This window comes from Homo sapiens, chromosome 3 (genome assembly GCF_000001405.40).
Source record: "Homo sapiens chromosome 3, GRCh38.p14 Primary Assembly".
Classification (NCBI taxonomy): Eukaryota; Metazoa; Chordata; class Mammalia; order Primates; family Hominidae; genus Homo; species Homo sapiens.
The window spans coordinates 38031353-38059044 of record NC_000003.12 but is presented as its reverse complement, the minus strand read 5'-3'; the positions used below and the strand labels follow the sequence as shown (position 1 = coordinate 38059044).

Below are 27692 nucleotides of genomic sequence, written 5' to 3'. Positions count from 1 at the left end.
GCCCAGAAATAGTAGCAAACACATTATTATTTATATAACATATAAATAACATTATTTATAGGTATTCCAAAGAATTAAAACTAGCAATGGCTACCTTTGGCAAGTGGACTGAGGTTGGGAGAGGTGAGGTGGAAAAGGCTTTTTTAAAAATAGACTTTATTTTTAGACCAGTTATAGGTTTGCAGCAAAATTGAGAGGAAGGTACAAAGATTCCCCATACAGCCCCTGCATGCACAGCCTCCACCATTATCAACGTCCCCCACTAGAGAGATACATTTGTTACTACTGAAGAACCTACATAGACACATTATTATCACCCAAAGTCCATGTTTACATTACAGGTCACTCTTGGTGGTGTACATTCTGTGCATTTGTACAAATTTATAATGTACAGGTGGAGGCTTTTTATTCTTCATTAGAAGTTCTTCTAAACTATTTGATTTTTAAAAACCATATATATTTATTACTTTGATAAAAATTAAAGAAAAAACAGGAAGAATATAAGACTTTTTCAGCTTTTATACAGTTTTATTATCACTTGTCAATTATTGATAGGCAATGCTGGCCTGGGAGTGGGCATTTCCACACTGTAAACAAGACAGCCGCCTAGCCGCCTGCATCGGTGCTGGCCTGAGGTAGGGACAGTGCAGACACACTCAAGAGCAAGCGGCTATGTCTGGTTTTGCGGGGCAACCTAGAGCACCAGAAAGTGGTGTCACACAGGGGATCAGGACTGGGCAGAGAGAGCACTGAAAAATCTCATTCCCCTTCATCCCATCCCTCAACAGATGTTTCCAGGCAAGAAGATATGGGAGTGTTTGTAAGAGTGAATGGAGTAAGCAAATATTACCAGGAGAGCTTTTGGATATTCTTAGGGATGTGTAATTTAAGTATACTTCACAATATTTCAGATATATCAAGAGGAACAAAGAATAATACAGTGGGCCGGGCACGGTGGCTCATGCTGTAATCCCACCACTTTGGGAGGCTGAGGCAGGCGGATCACGAGGTCAGGAGATCGAGACCACGGTGAAACCCCGTCTCTACTGAAAATACAAAAATTAGCCAGGTGTGGTGGCGGGCGCCTATAGTCCCAGCTACTCAGGAGGCTGAGGCAGGAGAATGGCGTGAACCCAGGAGGTGGAGTTTGCAGTGAGCCGAGATTGCGCCACTGCACTCCAGCCTGGGCAACAGAGCGAGACTCTGTCTCAAAAAAAAAAAAAAAAAGGAATAATACAGTGAGTATCCAAGTACCCATAAGTCATTGCTAAGACAGTTAACCTCCACCATGTCCCACTCTAGAAAGATCATCTCCAATCCTGTCCCCAGCTGGGGAAATCACTCACTAGAGTACGTATGTATCATCCCCATGCACGTTTATATTTTTGAATAGTTACAGATTCTTAAAAACAAATAAAACTTCTGCATGCCTTAAATATAACATGTCAAATGTCATCACACTGTATGTGTTCCGCCTGAATTTTCTTTCTTTGCGGATTATCTTTATCTTTGTGAGATCCACCTATGTGATCCATGTAGTTCTTTTTTTTTTTGAGACACAGTCTCGCTCTGTCATCCAGGCTGGAGTGCAGTGGCATGATCTCAGCTCACTGCAACTTCTGCTTCCTGGGTTCAAGCGCTTCTCCTACCTCAGCTGCCTGAGTAGCTGGGACTACAGGCTCGTGCCACCACGCCCAGCTAATGTTTTGTATTTTTAGTAGAGACGGGGTTTCACCATGTTGGCCAGGCTGGTCTCAAACTCCTGACCTCAGGTGATCTGCCCGCCTTGGCCTCCCAAAGTACTGGGATTACAGGCGTGAGCCACTGTGCCCAGCTGTGATCCATGTAGTTCAAATAATTGATTCTTACTGCTTTTTAGCATATGATAGACAACAACCTACCTATCCATTCCCCTAATGATGCACCCCTGAGCTGTCTCCAGGTGTTTGCTATTTCAAGCTTCTGAATACATTTTCTTGTCTGTACATACAAGAAGCTCCCAACTGGACTTGCTGCCACCAAGGAGGCCCACAAAAAGGCAGTGGTCTCGCCCACTGGCCTTCATTCCTTTCCCTGACATCATCATCATCATTCTGATGGGTGTGAAAGGACATCCCTCTGGCTCTAATTTGCTGATCACTAAGAATGAGCATTTTTATTTATTTTTCCATTTCTGCAAATTCCCAGTCATGGTTTTTGCTCTTTCCTAAGTGAGCTGTTTGCCACCTTCTTGTTGACTCCTAATTCTTTACATATTTTGGATACTGAATCTGTTCGTTATATTTGCTTTTGTGGATTTTGTTTTCACTTTTTTTTTAAGATGAAAGCTAGTTTATTAACAAAGTAAAGGAATAAAAGAATGGCTACTCCATAGGCAGAGCAGCCTGTTTTTACTTTTTATTTCAAAATAAAGAAGTTTAAAATTTAATGTAGTTGGCCGGGCATGGTGGCTCACGCCTGTAATCCCAGCACTTTGGGAGGCCGAGGTGGGCAGATCACTTGAGGTCAAGAGTTCAAGACCAGCCTGGCCAACATGGTAAAACCCCATCTCTATTAAAAATACAAAAATCAGCCAGGCCTCGTGGCACATGCCTGTAATCCCAGCTACTCAGGAGGCTGAGGCAGGAGAATCACTTGAACCCAGGAGAGAGAGGTTGCAGTGGATCTAGATTGAGCCACTACACTCCAGCCTGGGCAACACAGCAAGACTCTGTCTCAAAAAACAAAAACAAAACCAAAAAACCAAAAACCACTAAATTTAACTACAGTATTGTTTTTTTTTGAGACAGGGTCTCATTCTATCACCCAGGCTGGAGTGTGATGGCACGATCTCAGCTTATTGCAACCTCCACCTCCCTAGCTCAGGTGATCCTCCCATCTCAGCCTCCCAAGTAGCTGGGAGGCGCATGCCACCACACTCAGCTATTTGTGTGTGTGTGTGTGTGTGTGTGTGTGTGTGTGTGTGTGTGTGTGTGTGTGTGTATTTTTTGTAGAGATCAGATTTCACCATTTTGCCCAGGCTGGTCTCAAACTCCTGGGCTCAAGTGATCCACCCAACTCGGTCTCCCGAAGTGCTGGGATTACAGGCTTGAGCCAGCACGATCAGCCTGAATTTCTTAATGTTTTCCTTCACTGGGCATTTAGGACCTTGTTAAAGAAGGCCTTTCATCTCCAGAGCCATGAAGATGCTCTCCCATAGCGTCTTCTAGGCTTTAAAACATTCAGAGCTTATTTGCTGTGTGGTGTTGGTGAGGGCTCTAATTTTTCTCCCCGCAACCCAGATAACCAGGGTCACCCAGTTAACAGAGCTTTAGAGTCCACGTTGCTTTCCGTTGCTCACGTCTTCACTGACTGCTCTGTTCATCTGCCTATCTCAGAATCACACCCTTTCTCCAGGACCACTCTCCTTCTGCTGGAAGTACGTTCTTCAGTGAGTTCCTTGAGTCTCACTCTCCTGAGTTTCCTGTTGTGATAAATTCTGTTTCCCATCTGGAAATGCCTTTACCATAAGCAGATTCTTGAACAACCATCTATTTCAATGCCTGATTCTAAGCTGATGGTGAAGAGTCCCAAGTCACACTCACTGTATCACATGGCTTCCGGCTCCCACTGTGGCTGCTATAAAGTCTACTCTCAGTCTCAGCATCTGCTCTCTGTAATTTGTGCTTTTTCCTTGGCTGCATTTAAGATCTTCTCTTTGCACTTGGTGTCCTGCAGTTTCATGATGATATGGATGTGGATTTCTGTGCTTCCTGCTTCTGTGTATTCAGGCTTTCATAACTTACAGAAAATTCCTGGCCACTGTCACTTTAAGCCTCATGTCCCCACACTTCTCTGTTTAAATGTGTGCTGTGCCTCATCCTGACCTCCACACTTCTTATGTTTCATGTTTTCTATCTCTTTGGCTCTCTAGTCTGCATTTCTTCTGATTTTCCTTTCCATCTACTAATTCAAAATCTCTAGCCAAAATGGGCCTGTTGTTAAACCCACAGTTTCATCTATTGTACTTGTCATTTCCAGACGTTCTCTTTGATTCCTCTCCAGTCTGCCAGGTCATTTTAGTGGTCTTGTGGCTCCTGGTTCAGGCTGTTTCCTTCCTTTAGTCTGTAAATATCTCAAGCATTCTTAGTTTAATTTAGGATGTCAAAGGCTGGGTTCTCTGAGGTTCAGTTCCGCTGTGGTTCTGCTGACTTACTCGTGGTGGCTTTTCCCATATGTGCTTGGTAATTTTACCTGTGAGCTCATGTTTAGCTGGTTTTAATCTGGGGAAATCCAGAGAGACCTGGGTGTGCTGGGAGCAGCCACCCACCATGCATGTTCTCACTAAGTTTGCAAAGAACACCATTCTTTTAACCTGGGCCACTTCTCAGGGCTGTGCTTACAGCAAGTGGTCTAGAGGAATGAGGTCATGTTTCTTCTAGTCAAAGTGCAGGTTTGTTGACTGTCCACTGAAAAAGCAGTGAGTTCTCCAACCTCAGCATGCATCGGCCATGACATCAGCCCCACTGCTTGCATAGCATCTGCCTGGGCCCCTTGTGTCACCCCCTGGGAAACCTGTGCCAGCAAGAGGCTCATGCTGCTTGCTGTGCTCCAAGGACCCAGGAACCTCATGTCTTCAGTCAACATCTGTGAAACACTGTAGGCTAGCAGATTAGTCTGTAAACAGAGTAGAAGTCAGACCCAGAAAAACGTCAGTGCCTCCAGGCGCCTGCACGCTGCCCTCATGGAGGCAGGAGAGCTCCTCAGTGTGAGCTTTTCCAGATCACGCAGCTGCCACCAACACAAACTTCAAACCCTTGTTTTTGTTTTTGTTTGTTTGTTTGTTTTTTTGTTTTGTTTTTTTTTTTAGTATTTATTGATCATTCTTGGGTGTTTCTCGGAGAGGGGGATTTGGCAGGGTCATAGGACAATAGTGGAGGGAAGGTCAGCAGATAAACAAGTGAACAAGGGTCTCTGGTTTTCCTAGGCAGAGGACCCTGCGGCCTTCCGCAGTGTTTGTGTCCCTGGGTACTTGAGATTAGGGAGTGGTGATGACTCTTAAGGAGCATGCTGCCTTCAAGCATCTGTTTAACAAAGCACATCTTGCACCGCCCTTAATCCATTTAACCCTGAGTGGAAACAGCACATGTTTCAGAGAGCACGGGGTTGGGGGTAAGGTTATAGATTAACACCATCCCAAGGCAGAAGAATTTTTCTTAGTACAGAACAAAATGGAGTCTCCTATGTCTACTTCTTTCTACACAGACACAGCAACAATCTGATTTCTCTATCTTTTCCCCACATTTCCCCCTTTTCCATTCAACAAAACCGCCATCGTCATCATGGCCCGTTCTCAATGAGCTGTTGGGTACACCTCCCAGACGGGGTGGCCGCTGGGCAGAGGGGCTCCTCACTTCCCAGAAGGGGCGGCCGGGCAGAGGCGCCCCCCACCTCCCGGATGGGGCGGCTGGCCGGGCGGGGGCTGCCCCCCACCTCCCGGACGGGGCAGCTGCCGGGTGGAGACGCTCCTCACTTCCCAGACGGGGCGGCTGCCGGGCGGAGGGGCTCCTCACTTCTCAGACAGGGCGGCTGGGCAGAGATGCTCCTCACCTCCCAGACGGGGTCGCGGCCGGGCAGAGGCGCTCCTCACATCCCAGACGGAGCGGCGGGGCAGAGGCACTCCCCACATCTCAGACAATGGGCGGCCGGGCAGAGACGCTCCTCACTTCCTAGATGGGATGGCGGCCGGGAAGAGGCGCTCCTCACTTCCCAGACTGGGCGGCCGGGCAGAGGGGCTCCTCACATCCCAGACGATGGGCGGCCAGGCAGAGACGCTCCTCACTTCCCAGATGGGGTGGCCGCTGGGCAGAGGCTGCAATCTCGGCACTTTGGGAGGCCAAGGCAGGCGGCTGGGAGGTGGAGGTTGTAGCGAGCCGAGATCACGCCACTGCACTCCAGCCTGGGCAACATTGAGCACTGAGTGAACGAGACTCCGTCTACAATCCCGGCACCTCGAGAGGCCGAGGCTGGCAGATCACTCGCGGTTAGGAGCTGGAGACCAGCCCGGCCAACACAGCGAAACCCCGTCTCCACCAAAAAAATACGAAAACCAGTCAGGCGTGGCGGCGCGCCCCTGCAATCTCAGGCACTCGGCAGGCTGAGGCAGGAGAATCAGGCAGGGAGGTTGCAGTGAGCCGAGATGGCGGCAGTACAGTCCAGCCTCGGCTTTCACAACTTTGGTGGCATCAGAGGGAGACCAGTGAGAGGGAGAGGGGGAGGAGGAGGCGGAGGGGGAGGGAGAGAGAGGGACTTCAAACCCTTGTAATGGGAAGCTATGCTTACACATCTCAGGGGAGCTTTGGCCACCCCAATGCAAGATCTCAGATAAACTTCCCTCTGGACTCCAGTGGACGGAGACCTCATCATCTTTGAGGGCGCAGTTCCAACTCCACACCTCATGGTCCAAGGCTTCAGCTCTGCGCCACAACTTGCTGTTCACAGGAGGCAGCGGTTCCTGCTATTGGCTGATGCACCCAAGGCCAGCCAGGGGTGTGGGGCTTCTCTCGCAATAAACGTCTTTAGAGGCTACGGTTCTGGTTTCAGCTCCCTCTTCGTTTCTGGCTGTTGGGAGATTTCCCTTGCTTATTTGTGGTTCAACTATGCACCTATCCGAACCATTCCAGCAACATTCAAAGCTATCAAAGATGCAGTCATTCTCATAGAGAAAGCAGAGCTTGCTGTGCAGGTACTCGTGGTCCCGGTGTGGTCCCAGCCTGCTCTCTATGTTGAGGTCCCACACCTTCACCAACAGGGAGTCTCTGGTCATCAGGTACTGCCCACTATGGCTACATTTTACATTGGGTATGGATGAAATTATTTCTGAGAAGAAGGACCTACTGCTGGGATCTTGAGGCTCTTCAAAAAACTTGGAGTGTCTGTTGCACAGGGTCGAGGAGCCCATGCTGCTTAGTCAATGGTTCCTTTGCTACTACTGTAGACAAGCACATTGCACTGGTATGAGTGGAACTTGGCTGCCACAATGACTTCTGTCAGCTGCTCCAGGTTAGCAGGTTTGATGTCTACCACGTCAAAATGTCTATGTGTGATTTCTAAGTGTCATAAATTAATCCTCAGGTCATTGATAGTGCTGTAATTCTAAATGAATCTTGAAGTCATCCATCTTCATCATTCAAGTTATAACTTTCTGCTCTTTTATCTCATCCGCTTCTTTTCCATAATTTTATAGTTTTATCATTTGTAGAGAGTAGAAAATGAGCAGTGTTCTGTTGTAACCACCTAATTTTATTTTTTGCTCAATTTCTAGACTTTTCTAATAGCCAAACCCTGGTTCATGACCTTTAAAGGTACTGTAAACATTATATTCTCCCCTAGAATGAGGGCGGCTTTTATTCTCTAGCTCTGCTGAAAAACGACTCCACCGTCCTTGTCTCCTGCCACAGGATCTCCAGAGTAATTAAACTCAACAGTGGAAATGATATCTGCTGCAGAGTGAGGCTGTGTAGCCCCCTGGTCACTCACTGATGGTCGTCAAAGCCTCTTCTGGCCTCTCCCCTGTGGCAGATCTTCAGCCATGTCCTCCTCGATGGCCCCATTGACTTGGGAGAAGCACCACTGGAACTCATTGCCCTCTGGCAGCAGCAGCCTCCAGCTCCTGCTACGGCAGCAGGCAGCAGGGACAGGTGGGGTTGGGTGGGGACCGCGGTGGACCAGGGAGGAGGCCTCTGCGCCACTGCCGCTGAGCGATCAGTCCCGGCTGTCACCAGCGCCCGAACAGAAGACTTGTTGGAAGTTTTCAAACTTTGTTGTTTGCTCCATTAGCCAACATTATCTTAAGACATGTTGCCAGCCAGGTGAGGTAGCTCACGCCTGTAATCCCAGCACTGTGGGAGGCTGAGGTGGGCGGATTGCTTGAGCCCAGGAGTTCAAGACCAGCCTGGGCAACACAGTGAAACCCCATCTCTACAAAAAATACAAAAATTAGTGGGTGTGGTGGTGCCCGTCTGTGGTTCCAGCTACTCTGGAGGCTGAGGTGGGAGGATCCCTTGGGAGGTGGAGGTTGCAGTGAGCCAGTATGGGGCCAATGCCCTCCAGCAAAAAAAAAAAAGAGAGAGAGAGACATGGTGCCTTTGAATGGTCTTTCCTTTTGGAGGTCTCCTATAACCAACCTATCAGTGAAGACATGCATTCCCCCATCACATATGTTCATTGAGAGTTCCATCAGGAAAACAGAAACTAATCTATGTATATCAAATATTAAAGGTTTTAATACAAAGGATTGAAGACTGAGGGAAATAATGTCAGGGAAGCCATCTGCTATAGTTTAGGAGTTTGTTCCCTCAAATCTTATACTGAAATTTTTTCCTAAAGTTGGAGGTGGGGCCCAATGGGAAGTGTTGGGTCATGGGAGTGGACCCCTCATGTGTAGATGAATGCCCTAGGTGGGGGCAGGCAGGGAGTGAGTCCTCACTATATTAGCTCACCTGGCCCCCCCAAAACCCCCACTCTCACTTGCTTTCTCGCCATGTGATATCTGCGTGGCTCCCCTTTGCCTTCCCCCATGAGTGGAAGCAGACTGAGGCTTTCACCAGATGCCCAGTATTCCAGCCTGCAGAATCATGAGCCAAATCAATCTCTTTTCTTTATAAATTACCCAGCCTCAGGTATTCCTTTACAGCAACACAAATGAACTAAGACATCATCATTAACAACTTCAGCCAGTAGCACTGAAGCAGGGCTTTCTTAAGACGTTATCTGGAAACTCAGCCTGGGCAACATGGCAAGACCCTGTCTCTACTAAAAATACAAAAAACTAGCCGGGTGTGGTGGTATGTGCCTGTGGTCCCAGCTACTAGGGAGGCTGAGGTGGGAGGATTACTTGAGCCCAGGAGTCAGGGGTTGCAGTGAGCTAAGATTGCACCACTGCACTCCAGCCTGGGTGATGAAGCGAGACCCTGTCTTGAAAAAAAAAAAAAGTTATCTGGAAGTTGTTTTCAAACTCACAGCCACTCAATCATCTGCCTACTACTGCTTTTTGAAATAAATGGCCTTCCTTTCCAAAACTCACCAAGGGCTTCTCATCAGCTGACCTATCCTGGAAGCACAAGTGGGAGGTGCCTTCTGGGAAATGTACTCCCTGGTCTCTCCTTGGCAACAGAGACTTTAGCAGGCGGTAACAGCAATGCCAAGTTGACACAAACTAGCCCAGTTCCCAAGGACTTTGGTGATGGCCTATTTAAAATATCAAAAGATAAGACTTCTATACAAAGGATAAAGGCCATGTGACAAGAGATGTATCCTCTCTCTTCTGATACAATTCTTTCCACAGTCCTGCCCCAGGTTATGGGTGGCTAGGTGCTGTGTCTGCAGGAGCTGTCAGGCCTGGGCATGTACCCCGAGCCTTGGAAAAGCCTGCTCTGGCCTTGTGACCATCTCTTCTCCCCTGGGAAGGGTGGGCTTCCTATACTAACACTGTGGCTCCTGGGCATGGCTCTGCGAGGTCTTGGATAATGTGGACAAGTTTCCAGCAAGGGACAAGAATGAAAGCACAAGATGTTCTGCAGCATTCTGATCTTTCTCCCTCACTTTGGAGAATTTACATGTGCTTGCCACTTTGTCACATTTTTATTAGCAAACACAGAAAGGTTGCCTCTATGCCTCAAATAAGAAACTTTTAGGGGAATGTCCTCATTGCCAGTTATCTGAGTTATAAAAAAAAGTTACCTCACCCTTCTCTGAGAAGCAGACACACCAGAGGGGTATCCATGGAACTGGATTAGTGTGTCTACTTCTTCACTTCTTAAAAGAAAGACACATCACCAGCAGAGACCTGAGAAACCAGGACAGATAATGGCTGATTAGAACTTAATATCATTCTTGGGTAAAAATAAAATGAAAGTCATTGAAAAATTCTCCAAACTGACATTTGTCTCCTGGTTCTCAATGTTTTATTTCACTTTCATTAAAAAAAAAAACCCAAATAGTTAATTATTTAATCTCCCCTAATCTCTAGCCAACAACAACAAAAAAGGGACAGTAGCTGACTCCCAGGATTCAGGGAACATCAGGCAACCAGTAAAGACTCTGGACATTTGCTACCAATAATTTCTGCAAAATCCACATTATCTGGGCCACCATTGAGGGAGGGGTCCTTGCAGCTACACTGTGCTGTGGTGGAGGGGGAAACAGGAAGAGATACAGAACCTGTGCCTGAGTGTTACTGTTTAATGGGACTTGAGTCTCAGAGGTCTGGCAGGCCTGATGAAGGATAGGGCTTCTGCTGCTCAGAGCCACACTCTAAGAGAAGTCATCAACACTCCTGAGACACCATGGCTCATCAACAATCCTTCCTCCTCCCGATAGAAGAAAGCCATGGGTTTTGACAGCAGACACACCCAAGTTCAAATCTAAGTCCCACCCCCTTCCAAGCTGTGGGGCTTCAGGGAAGTCGTTTGATCATCTAAGTTTAGTTCCTACACCTGTAAGATAGAAAGAAAACCTACCTTACAGGGTTGTCGGGAGGATTTAGTGGGATAACCTATGCAAAGCATATTAGCATCTGGGCCCTAGTAGGTCCTCATAAGTTTAAATGCCTTTTAAGGCACTGTATCTTCCACTTCTTCCTCCCTTAGATCTTTCCCTCTAGGCCATAGATATAACAGGTCTCCTAAATATACTGTCTTTTCTGTCTACTGCACTGGAAAATGATAATTTTCAAGAATTTTCAAGATTTTCAAGAATTCAGGAGAACAGGTCAAGGTCTTTGTGGGGAGTGGTGGAGGGAATAAAAGGAATCAGCGTTTCTTGAAGAAATGGCTGATTCCAGATCTGGGGCCAGAAATACCCAAGATGGCCTGGAACATCTCACCAGCTCAGAAAGCAAGGAAGTTATCAAAGACAGCTGATTGTCAAATGAATCAGCAGTCAACTGGAAAAGGCTCTCTGCCAAAGATGGAACAATTTGAGCACCAAAAGGATAATAAATAATTTGCAGTCATGAAATCCAAGCGTGCACAATGATACTAAAACAACCAAACAAACCTCATTAGTCACCTTTGGCAGATGTTAGGGGAACCAACTCACTATTTTAAACACTGGCAAATAAAGGGAAAGAATTAATGCTGCCCATACTTTGGGGTAATCAAAGTAGTTTCTGAAAAGTTTGTCTTTATAGAAGTAGTTCAGCTGACAAATAAATAAAGATAGAATTATTATTACCATTAGCATTTCATTATAATTTGTAACCCCTAATAAAATAATAAAATAAAAAGGCTGCCAGCATCATGAAAGGAGAGATAGCAACCACATATCATGTACCTCCTGAGGGAAACACACAGCATCACCTATGAAGTGCTCTTTCCCCACCACCTGACCATCATTGAACCTAAACCTCATAAAGTCTCTAGAACTAATTACAGATTTATAGGAAATACAAGGAAGAACAGGTTAAATGACACCATGATGCTGATATCAGTAAAATCCAGACTATGGACAAGTCCATAGGAAAAACAACCCAATTTTGATTATAGGTAGTTAATTGCCCCCTAAGAACATTATTAACATTCTGATATACAAATTTTCAGCTTTTTTTCATGCATCTATACTATAAAAATGGGATTATCCTAACATTGTTCTGTGACTTTTTTGCTAAATTAATAAATAGCAGACAGCCATCTATATCTACAACACAGGTATAATTCATTCTTTTAAACAACTTTGCAGTATTCCATAGTGTGGATATACCATAATTAATAAAGTCAACTTATCTTTGCATAGTTGTATTTCTAAAGGATCACTCTTTAAACTTCTGCATTAAGAAAAGAATTTTCAGTGAATGCTGGTGGTATGGCGATGGAGCTTTGATGAGGAACAAGATATTGGTGTAATCTGAGAATACCTCTCTATAAAATGCTAATCAATTATAATTTGATTTGGAGAATTTAATGCAGAAAATCCTGGCAGACACCAACCTACTCAGGGGATGGAGGTTAACATCACGTGACCCTCCTGCTGTGCTGCAGTGAGATGAACAAGGAATAACTTTATGTGGTCCTGTTGCCCAGAATGTTTGCCTAAGTCTGGTCATGGGGAAGCATCAGACAGAACCATCCCCATCCTACAGAATATAAGTCTGGTCAAGAACTGTCAGGAAGATGAAAGACAAGAAAAGATCAAGGAATTGTTCCAAATGAAGGCATCTCAAAAAGAGACATGACAATTGCATGTGACATGACTTCCTGGACAGGATCCTGGGCCTGAGGGGGGGAAAAAGCCACAGTAGGACAGTCAGTAAAATTTGAATGGGATGTAAAAGTTGTCTGAATCAAAATGGAGTCACTTGTGTTAAAAAACCCTGACAAATGGTGCTGGGGAAGGCCATGCATAAGTGCCTGATAACAAGAATTATCACAAAAGATGCCTTGTATTAGTCCATTTTCATACTGCTATGAATAAATACCCGAGACTGTGTAATTTATAAAGAAAAAGAGGTTTAATGGACTCACAGTTCCACATGGCTGGGGAGGCCTCACAATCATGGTAGAAGGTGAAGGAGGAGCAAAGGCATGTCTTACATGAGCGAAGGCAAGAGAGTGTGTGCAGGAGAATTGCCCTTTATAAAACCATCAGATCTCATCAGACTTACTCACTATCATGAGAATAGCAAGGGAAAAACCTGCCCCCATGATTCAATACCTTCCACCAGGTCCCTCCCATGACACGTGGGGATTACGGGAGCTACAATTCAAGGTGAGATTTGGGTGGGGATGCAGACAAACCATATCACGCCACAAAAATCACAACCTCACACAAAGGTCATTGCAACCCTACACACACACACAAATCTGCCCAGCAACCGCCTGTTTAATCTCAGACTGGTACTACTCTTGTTAATGATTTTTCAGCCAAGGATAATTACTTCAAAACCATTGTGTAATCCTCCTCACTTTTCCTTTAAAAACCTTTGTCTTCCTTTACCTCCCTGAATATGCACACAGTTTACAATGGCACATGTATTCCCATTGCAGTGTCCATCATTTTCTTTTAGAGAGTCTCTCTCTGCTATTTAGGTTGACAAGTATCTGTGGGTCAGAGGTTAGTGTTGCACAGAAACTGATTTCCAGGTTGTGGGGGTTATATGCTGGTTATGTAGGAGAGCGTCCTTGTTTTGAAGATACACATACAGAAGTGTTTTGTGGTAATGAAATATTCTTTTGTGGTAATATTCATATTATCATGTCTGCGACTTGCTCTCCAAATATCCAGAAAAAGCCTAGAGAGTGGGCAATGGAGCAAACACAGTGAAATATCAACAGCCCGGGAATTGGGCAGGCATGTGGGAGTTCTTTATACACACCTGGAGGCAACCTGACAAGGCTCTCGAGGTCCTGTACTCCAGCCTGGCTCATGACCCGCTCATTTTCCGCAATAGCCCGTGCTTGGGCCTGAGTGATATGTCTCTCCAACATTTCAAACTCATCCAGCCGCTGCTTATAGAGCTCCCGAATCTGGCAGGGGGATGATCAAATGCACAGAAATATGGTGAGATTACTTACCATTACTTAGCTTTACTCAGCCCTACCCCAGGATCAGGGCTTCCAGTGAAGCATAGAATAGTCAGAGAACTATTCCAACCATCTGGTCTGAACTACTAGATCTGAAAACTGAGACCCATAGAGGGGAATGGTTTAAAGGTTTCCATAGTAAGGCCAGTAACAGACTTGAGCTTGGTTACCTGTCTCCTGGCTTCACAATAAAGAGAGCTGCCATCCAAACAGTGAAATACCAAATACAAGTTAGCACACTTCCTGTGGTGCCACCCAGATCCACGTTCAAGGAAGGACTTGCTCCCTAGCTACAGGGAACGTCGTCAGCAGACAGCCCCTTCACAGTCTACCTAAGCTGCTGAAAAGGAGTCACCTGAGACCATGTCCTTTCTGCAGCACCCACATCCTGTGACTGAGAGAGGCAGGGGTATAAAGACCTGGCCATTTTGACCCAAAGAGAGAAACTTTGACAGGCAATACTCTCTTCAGAGCAACATGCTGCATTTGTCAAGGCTTGTTGGGCCCCCATCACAGTTCAGCTTCTTCCGTGGCTCACTCCTTCTTTCATTCCCCTCCCCTCACAGGTGTTGATAGCTAACAAACACCTGTAGCCCAAACTCTGTCACAGTACTTGCGCCCAGAGAGTCCACTTGGATGCCCAACATACTCCTCAAGACTAATTACTGATTGACTATTCAACCAGCCAAACTTCTGATCCATATTTTCTGGTTCAGACTTCTCGAGGCAAGAAGCAGAGAGCTCACTGGTACAGGTAATATGAAAGATAGTTTGCATTAGCCAGGCATGGTGGTGTGCACCTGTAGTCCCAGCTACTTGGCAGGCAAGAGAATCGCTTGAGCCTAGGAGTGCAAGATCAGCCTGGGCAACACAGTGAGACCCTGTTTCTTTCTTTTCCTTTCTTTCTTTTTTTTTCTTTTTTGAGACAGAGTTTTGCTCTTGTTGCCCAGGCTGGAGTGCAATGGCATGGCCTTGGCTCACTGAAACCTCTGCCTCCCGGGTTCAAGTGATTCTCCTGCCTCAGCCTCTGAAGCAGCTGGGATTACAGGTGCCCGCCATGATGCCCAGCTAATTTTTTGTATATTTTTTAGTAGAGATGGGGTTTCACCATGTTGGCCAGGCTGGTCTTGAACTCCTGACCTCAGATGATCTACTCACCTCAGCCTCCCAAAGCGCTGGGATTGCAGTTATGAGCCACTGCGCCCAGTCTTATTTTCCTTTCTTATTTATTTATTTTTTAGAACTGGAGTCTTGCTTTGTGGCTTAGCCTGGAGTACAGTGGCGCAATCACAGCTCACTCCTGCCTGCTATTCCTGGGGTCAAGGGATCCTCCTGCCTCAGCCTCCAAGTAGCTGGGATTACAGGCATACACCACCATATCCAGCTAATTTTTAAATTTTTTTGTAGAGATGGGGTCTCAAACTCCTGGACTCAAGTAATCCTCTCATCTCAGCCTCCTAAAGTGCTGGGATTACAGGCACAAGCCACCATGCCCAGCTAACCCCATTTCTTTTAAAGAAAAAAAAAAACAGTTTATGTAGGAAGACAGTGTTCCTTATTGTATTCCTAAAGTTGGTGGGATCGCAAAGATTTATTTAGTCATTCTTTTAATAAAGATTTATTGTGTACCCAGGCGTGGTGGCAGGCACTTGTAATCCCAGCTATTCGGTAGGCTGAGGCGGGAGAATCACTTGAACCCAGGAGGCAGAGATTACAGTGAGTTGAGATTGTGCCATTGCACTGCAGCCTGGGCAACAGGAGCAAAACCCCATCTTAAAAAAAAAAGATTTATTGTGTAATTACCATTTACATTTGGGGAAATGAATCAGATATGGTTTCTGCTCTTAAAGAGTTTACAGTTTAGCAGGAGGGGCCTGGCAAGGATACAAATAGGTGAAATCAACTCTTAAAAGCGCTATAATAGCATATGAATGAGGATATATGGAAGGCTAAGAAGAAGTAACTAAATCTTCTTGGAGTCAGGAAATGTTTTTCAGGAGACAGTGGCCTGGGACAGTTCCTCAAATATAAAGTACTATGTTCTGTGTTATGTGTCTTACTATTTGGGTCTGCTGACAATCTCTGACCCTAATTTCTGGATGTAGGAATTAGCATCTAGTCCAAATAACAAGACCAACTATCACTTACTGAGGGCTTACCATGTTGTAAATGCTCAATATTGTAAATGCTTTACTGTATTGACTCATTTAATCCTCAAAACAACCAACCTATGGGGTGAATATTATTATTATCTGCATTTTACAGATAAGGAAACTGAGGCTTATAGAAGTAAATATCACCCAAGGTCCTATAGATGGTATGTGTAGGAGCCAGGACTTGAACCCAGGGTGTATGGTTCCAGAGCATTTGCTCTCAATCATTAGACCATGAGATATTTCTATAGGTGGGCTTGGGGAAGATCAGCTGCCAACGGGGTTATCTGAGGGAAAAACTCAGGCAATGCAGACACTCATACGGAATAGTGATTATTGCTCCTCCCAGGGAGAATGAATCTGAGTCCTGTACAGATGGTCACATGGCAGTGACATCTAGAGACGAGTGAGGAAAAGCAAAGAACAGATGACGAAAAAGGAAAGAGGGAGAGGAATATAGGTATAAGAACAGCAACATTGCTGGGCGCAGTGTCTCACGTCTGTAATCCCAGCACTTTGGGAGGCCGAGGCGGGTGGATCACGAGGTCAGGAGTTCAAGACCAGTCTGGCCAACATAGTGAAACCCTGTCTTTACTAAAAATACAAAAAATTAGCCTGGTGTGGTGGTGTGTGCCTGTAATCCCAGCTACTTGGGAGGCTGAGGCAGGAGAATCACATGAACCCGGGAGGCAGGGGTTGCAGTGAGCTGAGATCGTGCCACTGCACTCTAGCCCAGGCAACAGTGCAAGACTCTGTCTCAAAAAAAAAAAAAAAAAAAAAGCCAGCAACATTACAGAAGTGGAATAACAGATGCCTGCTCTTTTCAAAGTTTCTTTTTTTGTAATTACAAAATTAATTCGTGTACATTGCAAAATTCAGACAATATAGAAATGTGCAAAGAAAAAGTTAAATGTCCCATAAGAATATTGTTAACATTTTGTTGTGAAAGTTTTCAGCTTTTTTCCCATGCATATATATTATAAAAAATTAAATTATCCTAACATTGTTCTATGGCTTTTTTGCTAAATTAATAAATGGCGGGCCAGGCGCAGTGGCACACTCTTGTAATCCTAGCACTTTGGGATGCTGAGGCGGGCAGATCACTTGAGGTCAGGAGTTGGAGACCAGCCTGGCCAACATGGTGAAACCCCATCTCTACTAAAAATACAAAAATTAGCCAGGCATGGTGGTGCATGTCTGTAATCCCAGCTACTCAGGAGGCTGAGGCAGGAGAATCGCTTGAACCCAGGAGACGGAAGTTGTAGTGAGCCAAGATCGTGGCACTGCACTCCAGACTGGGCAACAGAGCGAGACTCTGCCTCAAAAAAATAAATAAATAAATAAATGGCAGCTGTGTTTGTCTACAATGCAGGTATAATTCATTCTTTTTAACAACTTTGTAGTATTCCATAGTGTGAATATACCATAATTTATAAAGTCAACTTATCTTTGCATAGTTGTATTTCTTTTTTTTTTTTTTTTTTTGAAACGGAGTCTCGTTCTGTCGCCCAGGCTGGAGTGCAGTGGTGCAGTCTTGGCTCATTGCAACCTCCGCCTCCTGGGTTCATGCAATTCTCCTGTCTCAGCCTCCCGAGTACCTGGGATTACAGTCACACACCACCACGCCCGGCTAATTTTTGGTATTTTTAGTACAGACAGGGTTTCACTATGTTGGTCAGACTGGACTCAAACTTCTGACCTCGTGATCTGCCCGCCTCGGCCTCCCAAAGTGCTGGGATTATAGGCGTGAGCCACCACGCCCGGCCGCATAGTTGTATTTCTATAGGGGATCACTCTTTAAACTTTTCTGCATTCTGAAATTTCTGCAATTTTAAAACTTCAAATGTTTAAATTAAATTTCAGCTTCTAAATTAAGATTTTTATAATGTGGGCCAGGCACAGTGGCTCACACCTGTAATACCGGCATCTGGAGAGGCTGAGGTGGAAGGATCAATTGAGGCCAGAAATTTGAGACCAGCCTGGGCAACATAGTGGGACCCCATCTCACAATTTTTAAAAAATAAAAATTTAGGCCAGATGTGGTGGCTCATGCCTGTAATCCCAACACTTTGGGAGGCCAAGGTGGGCAGATCACGAGGTCAGGAGATCGAGACCATCCTGGCTAACACAGTGAAACCCTGTCTCTACTAAAAATACAAAAAAATTAGCCAGGTGTGGTGGCAGGCGCCAGCTACTCAGAAGGCTGAGGCAGGAGAATGGCATGAATGTGGGAGGTGGAGCTTGCAGTGAGCTGAGATTGCGCCATGCACTCCAGCCTGGGTGACAGAGTGAGACTCCATCTCAAATAAATAAATAAATAAATAAATAAGCTGGGCATACTGGTGCACACCTGTGGTCCTAGCTACTCCAGATGCTGAGGAGGGAGGATCAGTTGAGCCCCTGATGTTAAGGCTGCAGTGAGCTGTGATCACATCACTGCACTCCAGCCTGGGCAACAGAGCCAGACTCTGTCAAAAAAAAAAATTTGTAATATGTATTACTTTTTTTCTTCAAAAAAAGGGATCACTATTTGCCAATTCAGACTCTGGTATAGTGGCTACTTATGGGACAGATACTGAGAAGATAGAATCCAGTGAACTGGGTGACTGGTCATGGGGTTTATAGGTTTATAATGCTCCATATATTCTGGCTCATGTGAATGACAGGGATGTGAGTCTGAAGTTCAAGGGCAAGGTCTGGCTGGGTAGGCTGAAGTCTTAGCAGAGTGAATGTGGTGACCCACGAATCACAGAGTACAGGATCCCAGCCAGGGGCTCTGGCTGCACTTTAAGAAGCCTATAACCCGTGGAGGCGGCGAGACTGGTCCTGTAAGTATCTCACATACTGTATAGGTATTCATTTTGTTAATGTCTATCTACCTCAGTTAGGTTGAAAGCTACAGAGGACAGGTTGCGTGTGTGAGTGTGGGTGTGCCCGAACACTGGCGTTTTTATTCACTGCTGAATCCCCACTGCCTAGAACAGAGTATGACACCCAGCAGACATTCAACAAATGTGTTAAGTGAAGGAATGACTGAAGCTAACGACGTGGGATGCATGTCACTTAAGGGGCAGGTAGAGGACAGAACAGAAAGGAGAAGAAGAAGATCTGAGAGGCAGGAAGCACACCGGGGTAAAGGATCGGGTATGGGAGGAGTGCCCACAAGTTTAAGGGAGTCTTCAGTAGTGTGGCCAGCAGAGGCCGACTCAGCACAGAGGCCGCGAGTCAGCTGGTTTTCTCCTTGTACAGATGAGGAAGCAGAGTTGCTGTTCTAGAGGCTAGACACGCTTCCTAAAATCTGCGCATGAATGGCCCAGTCAAGATTGTGGTTTGTGATACAAAGGCACCCCAAAGCCGGGTGACTTTTGGCTTTATCCTCTCCATGGAACAACTATTCAGCGGTCTGCCGCAGTCGTTCATTGATATATGCAATATATAACGTATGTGTCTAGAGAAATATAGACAGGTGCTACAGATATATGCCGCACGTTGTGTGGTATGTGTGGTATTTGCGCATGTGTGTGTATGGATAGAGCGTCCTTCCACTAGAATGTCGGGCCCACTTCGGCATGATGGGCTGTTTCTCAACTGCAGCCCCAGATCCTGGAACAGCGCCTGGCACCTGGCAGGTGCTGACGCGTGCCGAGCGCTGAGACCCCGGCACCGTCCGCAGACGCGACGCCACCGCCACGTTACCTGCTGCAGCTGGTCCACGAACTCCTCGTGGCGCTCATTCTCGCTGCCGCGGGCCTTGATCAAGCTTGCGCTCACTTCGTCGCCGATGACCTCGGCTGAGTACAAGTTGCGGAAGACGCCGGTGAGCAAGTGCGAGATATCTTGGGTGCGCAGCGAGGAGGGGCGCAGACGAAGCAGCTGAGGCTCGGGACGCTGCGCCAGCGCAAGCTGCGTGAGGCGGCGGGGCCGGGCTGCGAAGCTGTAGTGGAAGGCCTCAGAGTAGGCGAGGGAGGAATACAAGGAGGACTTCCAGGTGGGCTGGCTGGGGCTGCTGGACCCGGCTGGTGGCGAAGTTGGCGCCCACATTGTCCCCTGGCACTCGTTGGTCCGGGACGCTAAAGACCTCCGCGTTTTGGAGCTCCTGGTCTCCATGGCAACCGAGACGCCGCTAACTCCCTGCGGCACTTCGGCTTCCGGCCTCACCCCTTCCGCCTTGCCTTTCTCTCGGATCCCGTCATCGCTGTGGTCATTGTAAACATTTGTGTCTTCAGCATTGTCCTTTTAAAAGTGAGCTTACTAAGTGTGAGGACCCATGAAGAAAGGTTTAATTGACACAGCCAGGCCTATCTGCAAAACCTTGTACCTAACTACCTACCTTCATCCATTCTTTAATTTGTTAAGCAACTGTTCATTCACTCATCATATTTATTGTGTAAAGATTGTGTTTCAGGTCTGTGCTGATTGCTGAAGATACCAAAGAAGTATGATGCTGCTTCTGCCTTCAGGAAGTGCACAGTCGTGTATGTGTGTGTTTGTGATGATGGCGGTGGGTGTGGAGGTAAAAGTAAAACAACTGTACTTTAGTGGGTTAAGGCCAAGGTGGAGATAAATATTGGTTGTCATGGAACTACAAAGGAGGACAGGAACTTAGTCTGTAGAAGGAGCGATTACTTCTTGGAACAAATGAAAACCAAGCAGAGATTTCAAAGAAGGAGTAGACTGAACATCATTAGTCATCAAAGAAGTGGAAATTAAAACCACAATGCAGTACTACAGTTAGTAGAATGACAAAAAACAAAAAAGTACCTAAATAAGAGCGTGTGTGTGGTGGCTCACACCTGTAATCCCAACACTTTGGGAGGCTGAGGCACGAGGATCACTTGAAGCCAGGAGTTTGAGACCAGCCTGGGCAACATAGGGAGACCCCATCTTTACAAAATATTTAAAAATGTGGGAAGGACGGAATGAAATTCAGGAGGAGTGGAACTTAAAGAGTGTGAGGGTGGAGGAATGACACTGATAGGTTAGGGCCAGATCATAAGTGGGTTGGTAGGCCACAATAGGGAATTTGGACTTTATTTTGAGGGCAGTAGGAGGTTCATCAAGGGTCTTAAGCTGGGGCATGTCATGGTCAGCTCTGTTTTACTAAGATCATTCTGATTGCTATGAGAATAGACAGGAGAGGCAAGAGGCATCAGGAAGTTCAGTTAGGAAACTAGCACAGAAGTTAGGAAAGAGATGAAGGGAGATTGGATGAGAGAGAGGGAACTGGATTGGAGATAGATCCAAAAAGTAGAATTGATAAGACTTGCTGGTGGATAATGGGAGGTAAGAAACAGGCACCAAGAATGACTCCCAGGTATCCTGTGTGTGCAATCAGGGGGGTGATGACAGCATCACTGAGATGGAAAAGAGGACTGCATTTGTCCAGGGCAGCAGCATAACATCACATTGACTGTTGTCATTTGCACACCATGGCTTTTGCTCACAGGTGATACAACCAACCACTTTCTACTCCACACTGAGTTTGCTTGCCTTACATCCTGAAACCCACTTCCAGAGATGAGTGCTAGCATGCTTGCCCACACACCTGGGCTACTTCCACTTCTACTTCTCTTGGTTGGGCCTGGCTCTCTCTTTTGTCCTTTCCAGGACCTTTTCTGTCCTGAGAGCTGAGAAGCCAGGGCCGCCTGCCCTGGACTGTGTGCTTGAGAGGCCCATCTCTGGCTGTCCCCCGCACTCTTTCCCACAGAGTAAGAGATCACAGGGCCAAGATGATGTGCCCCGTGCCTCGCCTCCAGGCACATGGGACCCCAAAAGTATGTGCCCACATGTCCTGAGTTCATTCCAGGGCCTATGCAGGCCTCTTCTTTAAGTTTATCCTCCCAGGGCTGACTTAAAAGGGTAGCTATGGTGGGGGGAGGAGGAGGGAAGTGGAGGGAGCTTTGGCAAACAGGCATTTCTCCAATTTTCCACAAGCATGCAAGGCCCCCAGTGGTGCAGGAAGGAGCTGTGGGTAGGAAGAGGGGTGCAACAGTCTGGGGGCCTCCATTGCTCTAATGTGGCAAATGGAGCCCCAGTTGGGTGGTCTTGTCATTTAGGAGCAGTTCCGCTTGTGGAGGCTCTCTGGCCCCCTTCCCTGTTATAGGGAAGGACAGGACAATGGACTCTTGCCATTACTTTTGGCTTCTCCACCCTGCCTCTAGACAGCCTCAGAGACAGTCACAGAGTCTGACTAGCCTGGGAGAGGTCTCCCTTTGCATGACCCCTCCCCCCTCTGGCTCCAGGCTAAGGTTACCAGCAACCCTCCTGTCTCTCCAGTGGCAACAGTCCCCCCTCAGTCCTCATCTCAGCAGCCTCTGGTGCTGCTGCCCATTCCCTCCGACTGACACACTCTCTTCCCTGCCTCCCTATTTCTTCTGTGCATCACCTATCTCCACCCTCGGGTCCCTGTTCTACCAGTATCTCTCTGCTTGATAAACTGGATTCATCCCTGATTCTACCATGCCCAGCATTCAATTTCTGTTTGCTCCCTGGCTAACTGGAGAAATGAATGGCTGCGACCCTGCACTGGTAACAGGGCTCAGGTCACTTTTGGAACCACTCTTCAGCTCCCCTCCCCTGGGGACTTCATCGGCACAAAGGGAATTCCTTGTGAGTTGCTGTCTTCATTTTATAACCCGTTCTATTGACTACATTCTTGTTTGTTTGTATATCTCTGGGTTCCCACACAAATTTTTGGCCTTTAAATTTTTTTTTTCACTGCTTTTTTCTTTTTGAAACAGGCTCTCACTCTATCACCCAGGCTGGGGTGCAGGAGTATGATCACAGCTCATTGCAGCCTCAACCTCCTGGGCTCAGGCAATCCCCCTGCCTCAGCCTCCCGAGTAGCTGCGACCACAGTCGTGCACCACCATGCCCAGCTAATATTTAAAATTATTTGTAGAGACAAGGTCTTCCTAAGTTGCCGAGGCTGGTCTCAAACACCTGGATTCAAGCAATCCTCCTGCCTTCACCTCCTAAAATGTTGGGATTACAGGCATGAGCCACTGCACCTGGCGTTTGGCCTTTTTTTTTTTTTTTTAACTTTTAAATACATTTCATAGTTTCATGGATGTCCAACTTTTTTTTTTTTTTTTTGAGTTGGAGTCTTGCCCTGTCCCCCAGGCTGGAGTGCAGTATTGCAATCTTGGCTCACCGCAACCTCCCCCTCTCAGGTTCAAGCGATTCTCCTGCCTCAGCCTCCTGAGTAGCTGGGATTACAGCCATGTGCCACCACGCCCGGCTAATTTTTGTATTTTTAGTAGAGACAGGGTTTCACCATGTTGGCCAGGCTGGTCTTGAACTCCTGACCTCATGATCTGCCCGCCTCAGCCTCCCAAAGTGTTGGGATTACAGGCGTGAGCCACTGCGCCCAGTCAGATGTCCAACTTTTTGATTGCAAAGAAATTTTTGCTTATCTGTGGTGATGTATATAATGAACATTATGCATGGACCTTTTTTTTTTTAAGCTTATCGCTGTTAGTGTTAGCGTATTTGATGTGTGGCCCAAGACAATTCTTCTTCTAGTGTGGTCCAGGGAAGCCAAAAGTTTGGACACCTGTGTATAAAAACAAATTCAAATAGTACATAAATAATAAAAAGGAAGTGTCTTCTTCTCAGTCCTTTCCCCCAAATTATTAGAATATTTCTGCTTACTTTCAGCTGTTTTTTCTGCCTGCACGAACACTGTTATCTGTCAAGACATTTAAAAAATTATTTAAAAACAGGCCGTGCATGGTGGCTTATGCCTGTAATCCCAGCACTTTAGAAGGATGAGCAGGTGGATTGCTTGAGGCCAGGAGTCCAAGACCAGCCTGGCCAACATGATGAACACTGTCACTACTAAAAATACAAAAATTAGCCACGCATGGTGTCACATGCCTATAATCCCAGCTACTTGGGAAGCTGAGACACAAGAATTGCTTGAACCCGGGAGGCAGAGGTTGTAGTGAGCTGAGATAGCGCCACTGCACTACAGCCTAGGTGACAGAGTTTGACTCTGTCTCAAAAAAAAAAAAAAATTAATAACACAAGTGAAATAATGTTATACATGGATATTGTCCTGCCATTTGTATTTTTCACTTATTATGTCCTATGGCAACTCATGGAGAACTACTTTTTTCTTTTTTGCTCCTATAAATAATGCTGTAATGAGCAACCTTGTTCATGTTTGTGCATACTTTGCATAGCCGTACAATGTTTCTGTGGGATAATATCATAGAAGTGCTTGGCCAAAGGTGTGCACATTTTAATAGCTGAGATACTGCCAAAATGCCCTCCAAAAAGATTATACCAGAATATAATCCCATTTGCAAAATGTGAGAGTTCATGGACATTTTAAACATGTTTTGAACCATATCCCAGTTTTTATCCCTAGCTCACATCTCCCTCCCAAACTCCAGACTTGTACATCCATCATGTTCTTGACATCTGGATGGCACCTCAAACTTAATATGTCCGAAATAGAGTGCCTGCTCCTCCTCAGCCTTCCCCATTTCAGTTAATGGGAGCTCCATTCTTTAGTTGTCCAGGCCCAAAATTTGGAGTCATCCTTGACTCCTCTCTTTCTCTCACAGCCCCCACCTGTAATTCCTGTTGACTCTGCCTTCAAAATATATCTGGAATCCTATCAATTTCCACACTCAACTCCTACCTCCAAGGTCTGAACCACCATCCACTCCCACCGGAATTGGGTATTACAAGAGTCTCCTCACTGGGCTCTTGCTTCAGCCCTTGTCCCTCCGTGGTGACTTCCAGCACTCAGAGGATTCTTTTACATTAGTCAGATCATGCCCCTCCCTGGCTTGAAGCCTTGCAAGTGCTCCCAATTTCGCCCAGAGTAAAAGTTGAATTTTTTTTTTTTTTTGAGACAGAGTTTTGCTTTTGTTGCCCAGGCTGGAGTACAATGGCGCAATCTCGGCTCACCGCAACCTCCGTCTCCTGGGTTCAAGCGATTCCCCTGCCTCAGCCTCCCACGTAGCTGGGATTACAGGCATGTGCCACCACGGCCGGCTAATTTTGTATTTTTAGTAGAGACGGGGTTTCACCATGTTAGTCAGGCTGGTCTTGAACTTCCAACCTCAGGCAATCCACCCACCTCAACCTCCCAAAGTGCTGGAATTACAGGTGTGAGCCACTGCACCCAGCCAAGTTGTATTCTTTTTTGTTGTTGTTGTTGTTGTTTGAGACAGAGTCTTGCTCCGTCGCCCAGGCTGGAGTGCAATGGAGCAATCTCAGCTCACTGCAACCTCCTCCTCCTGGGTTCAAGTAATTCTCCTGCCTCAGCCTCCCAAGTAGCTGGGATTACAGGCACCCACCACCACTCCCAGCTAATTTTGTGTGTGTGTGTGTGTGTGTGTATTTTTAGTAGAGACAGGGTTTCGCCATGTTGGCCAGCCTGGTCTTGAACTCCTGACCTCAGGTGATCCACCGGCCTCAGCCTCCCAAAGTGTTGGGATTACAGGCGTGAGCCACCGTGCCCAGTCATAAAAGGTGAATTATTACAAGGCCCAACAGGACTTGGTCCCGGTTACCTCTCTTTCTCCTCCCATGATCAGCCCGCCCCACTTCCCCGTTCTCTTGCTCTCTTAGCTCCAGCCACATTGGCCTTGTCCTCCTTGCTCATCCTCCAACATACCAACACCCTCCTGCTTCAGGGTGTATTTCCTGTGCCTGGAATCTTCTGCCCAGATATCTCTAAATGTCTCAGTCCCTCACTTCTGTCAAGGCTTTGCTTGACTGTCACCTTTCCCATAAAATCCAGCCTGATCAACCCTTTTAAAATTTAATTCTGTCAGGTGAGGTGGATCGCTTAGGGTCAAGAGTTCAAGAGCACCCCAGCCAACATGGTAAAACCCGTCTCTATTCAAAATACAAAAATTAGCTGGGCGTGGTGCCACACACCTGCAATCCCAGCTACTCAGGAGAATCACTCGAACCTGGGGGGCAGAGACTGCAGTGAGCTGAGATCACACCACTGCACTCCAGCCTGGGCAACAGAGCGAGACTCCATCTCAAAAAAAAAAAAAAAAAAAAAATTAACCCTATCCCATTCCTGAACTGCTTTAACCCACTTTTTTCATTTTACTTATTATCTGCTAATATCCTGTACAATTCATTTCTTACATTTGTTAAAATGTCTCTTTTCTTTCCATTAGAATTTGGGCTCCAGGAGGGCAGGGGTTTTTGATGTGTTTTGTTCACAGATGACTCCCAAGCCTCTAGAACAGTGCCCACTACACAGTAGCTGCTCAATAAATATTTGTTGAATAAGTGACATAGCAGAACAGTTTTCAAATGTGGGTCTCTTCAGTTCACACATCCCATAAGTGTGTTTCCTCCTTCAGGTGAGTTACCCTCTGCCTCCTCCTTCAGATAAGGGTCTGAGGGCAAGTTTCCTGTCTGTTCCCCATGCCAAGCACTGTATTCTGCCTCTGGGGTGGAGGTGAGCATTGGGACTCAGTCCACAGTGAAATAAACATCACAGTTACATTCACAAATGAATACACAATAAAATCCCACAAATATAATTATAGAATAGTAACCCCAAATAATCCCATACTGTCCTGGGACTACCAGCAGGTCCAGCAGCCTCATAGTTCACTATGGCATCCTGGATCCCTGCAAGGTCAGGACCTGAGGATCTGACCCTGCATGACCTGAGGACTCTCACTTTGCCACAGCTGCTCCCTTGGGAGGAGCAGCCTTCACTTTTCCTCCTGATGCATCTGGACTTGGGCCCATGACCCTCTGGAGGGAGCTCCTATGGGGGTTTTGCAGCCCTCAAAAGCAGCAGGGGCATGACCTCAGACCAACAGCCTCAGGTTGGGCTCTGGCCACCTGGATCTGTAGAGGAGGCCAGGCAGAGGATGGCTGTGGGAATATGGGATTCTGGTGGCCTTCTAGCAGGTACTTATTTGTGCCCTGTACTTGCCATCCATTACTTCTGCCAGTTCTAAGGATGATTATAGCTCCTGATTGAGGAGCTCAGAGAAGCGAAGTCACTTTTCCAAAGTCTTAACAGCAGGAAGCTGCAAAGTCAAGATTTAAACAGCCCCTTCACCCCATATCCTGGAGCAGAGGCTCTAAAGACAGGGAGGGGGCAGAATAAACCCCATTCACCTCACCTACCCAAGCTGGGCTAGGTTTGCATTTCATGGGGGAGGGACTGGAAAGGGCCAGCCCTGAAGCACGCTTGGAGCCTGACCATCCTGAACGTTGGCATTCTTGGGTGATAATACCCCCTCCTCAGGCCTCCAGAGAAAGTAGTGGTGGAGAGACCAAGTGAAGTGGCTTGAGGCAGGCACTGGTGCCAACACTAGGTCTCTCTTCCCTGTCTCCAGTGATCCCAGAAGCTCCATCACCCCATCCATCCTCACACAGACATAGAAGACTGGGCATGGTCAGGAGAGTGAGATGCCAGAAACTCCCCCATTAAAGAACTAGTCTTTGGGGCATGTGTGGGCCCTCTGTGTACCCAAACTAAGCCTGCCAAATAGCCCTCTGAGTCACCGGGATCTCAGGGCATCTTGCACAGGCAACTGAGAGCTGGGTTTTGAGGAGGGTAATTTAGGCACCTGGCCAGGGCTGGGCCCACAGACGGCCCTGGGAGTTGAGGGCAGAGGGAGTGAAGGCAAAGGGAATGGAATCCAGCAACTTCGTGACTTGGTACAAAGCCTCTTTGCCTCCTCTGAGCTCCAGCCCCTCCACACAAGTTCACTCATACCACACAGGCTTACCCCTAGCAGGAACCAGCAGAGCACCTCCCAGCCTGTGAGAGCCAGGAGGGGCCGATAGCCAGGGGAAGAGAGGAGAGGACTGGAGTGAGGGCTCACCCACGGCTCTGAGCAGCCGCCGGGTTTCTCTATGAGCAGGGCGGGGCCCAGCCCTCATGTCTGGCAGAACCTGGTTGCATGTGCCAGCTCTGAGTCAGCAGTGCCCATCCTGCCCAAGAACCCTGGGCTAGGGAGGAGGCTGCAGCTCC

At 46.8% G+C, this 27692-nt stretch overlaps 1 protein-coding gene and 1 pseudogene across 11 annotated transcripts in view, besides 5 other annotated features; both read right to left on the bottom strand.

Annotated features, from left to right (window-relative positions):
* The window catches only part of DLEC1 (DLEC1 cilia and flagella associated protein), an 84818-nt gene extending 64981 nt beyond the window's left edge, over positions 1–19837 (bottom strand). For all 11 annotated transcript variants that reach the window (XR_940527.3, NM_001321153.2, NM_007335.4 and 8 more), the window contains exons 1-2: positions 19409–19837; positions 13352–13502 (exon numbers count right to left, since the gene is read on the bottom strand). Coding sequence is in view for 10 of the 11 variants with exons in the window: in NM_001321153.2 (NP_001308082.1) it covers positions 13352–13502; positions 19409–19819 (562 nt within the window). In the remaining variant the exon portion in view is untranslated. The remainder of the gene's footprint in view (positions 1–13351; positions 13503–19408) is intronic.
* Positions 3525–3574: an enhancer, noted in NCBI's record as "active region_19678". NCBI's record gives its function as "activates an Ori minimal core promoter by ATAC-STARR-seq in GM12878 lymphoblastoid cells {active_cell/tissue: GM12878}" and the evidence as "EXISTENCE:reporter gene assay evidence [ECO:0000049][PMID:35858748]".
* Positions 3605–3684: an enhancer, noted in NCBI's record as "active region_19677". NCBI's record gives its function as "activates an Ori minimal core promoter by ATAC-STARR-seq in GM12878 lymphoblastoid cells {active_cell/tissue: GM12878}" and the evidence as "EXISTENCE:reporter gene assay evidence [ECO:0000049][PMID:35858748]".
* Positions 5658–6502: an enhancer, noted in NCBI's record as "H3K27ac-H3K4me1 hESC enhancer chr3:38094034-38094878 (GRCh37/hg19 assembly coordinates)". NCBI's record gives its function as "activates a minimal SCP1, AML or CMV promoter by ChIP-STARR-seq in naive H9 embryonic stem cells {active_cell/tissue: H9 hESC(naive)}" and the evidence as "EXISTENCE:reporter gene assay evidence [ECO:0000049][PMID:30033119]".
* Positions 6645–7767, bottom strand: PPP2R2DP1 (protein phosphatase 2 regulatory subunit Bdelta pseudogene 1; annotated as a pseudogene).
* Positions 19043–19272: an enhancer, noted in NCBI's record as "active region_19676". NCBI's record gives its function as "activates an Ori minimal core promoter by ATAC-STARR-seq in GM12878 lymphoblastoid cells {active_cell/tissue: GM12878}" and the evidence as "EXISTENCE:reporter gene assay evidence [ECO:0000049][PMID:35858748]".
* Positions 19563–19772: an enhancer, noted in NCBI's record as "active region_19675". NCBI's record gives its function as "activates an Ori minimal core promoter by ATAC-STARR-seq in GM12878 lymphoblastoid cells {active_cell/tissue: GM12878}" and the evidence as "EXISTENCE:reporter gene assay evidence [ECO:0000049][PMID:35858748]".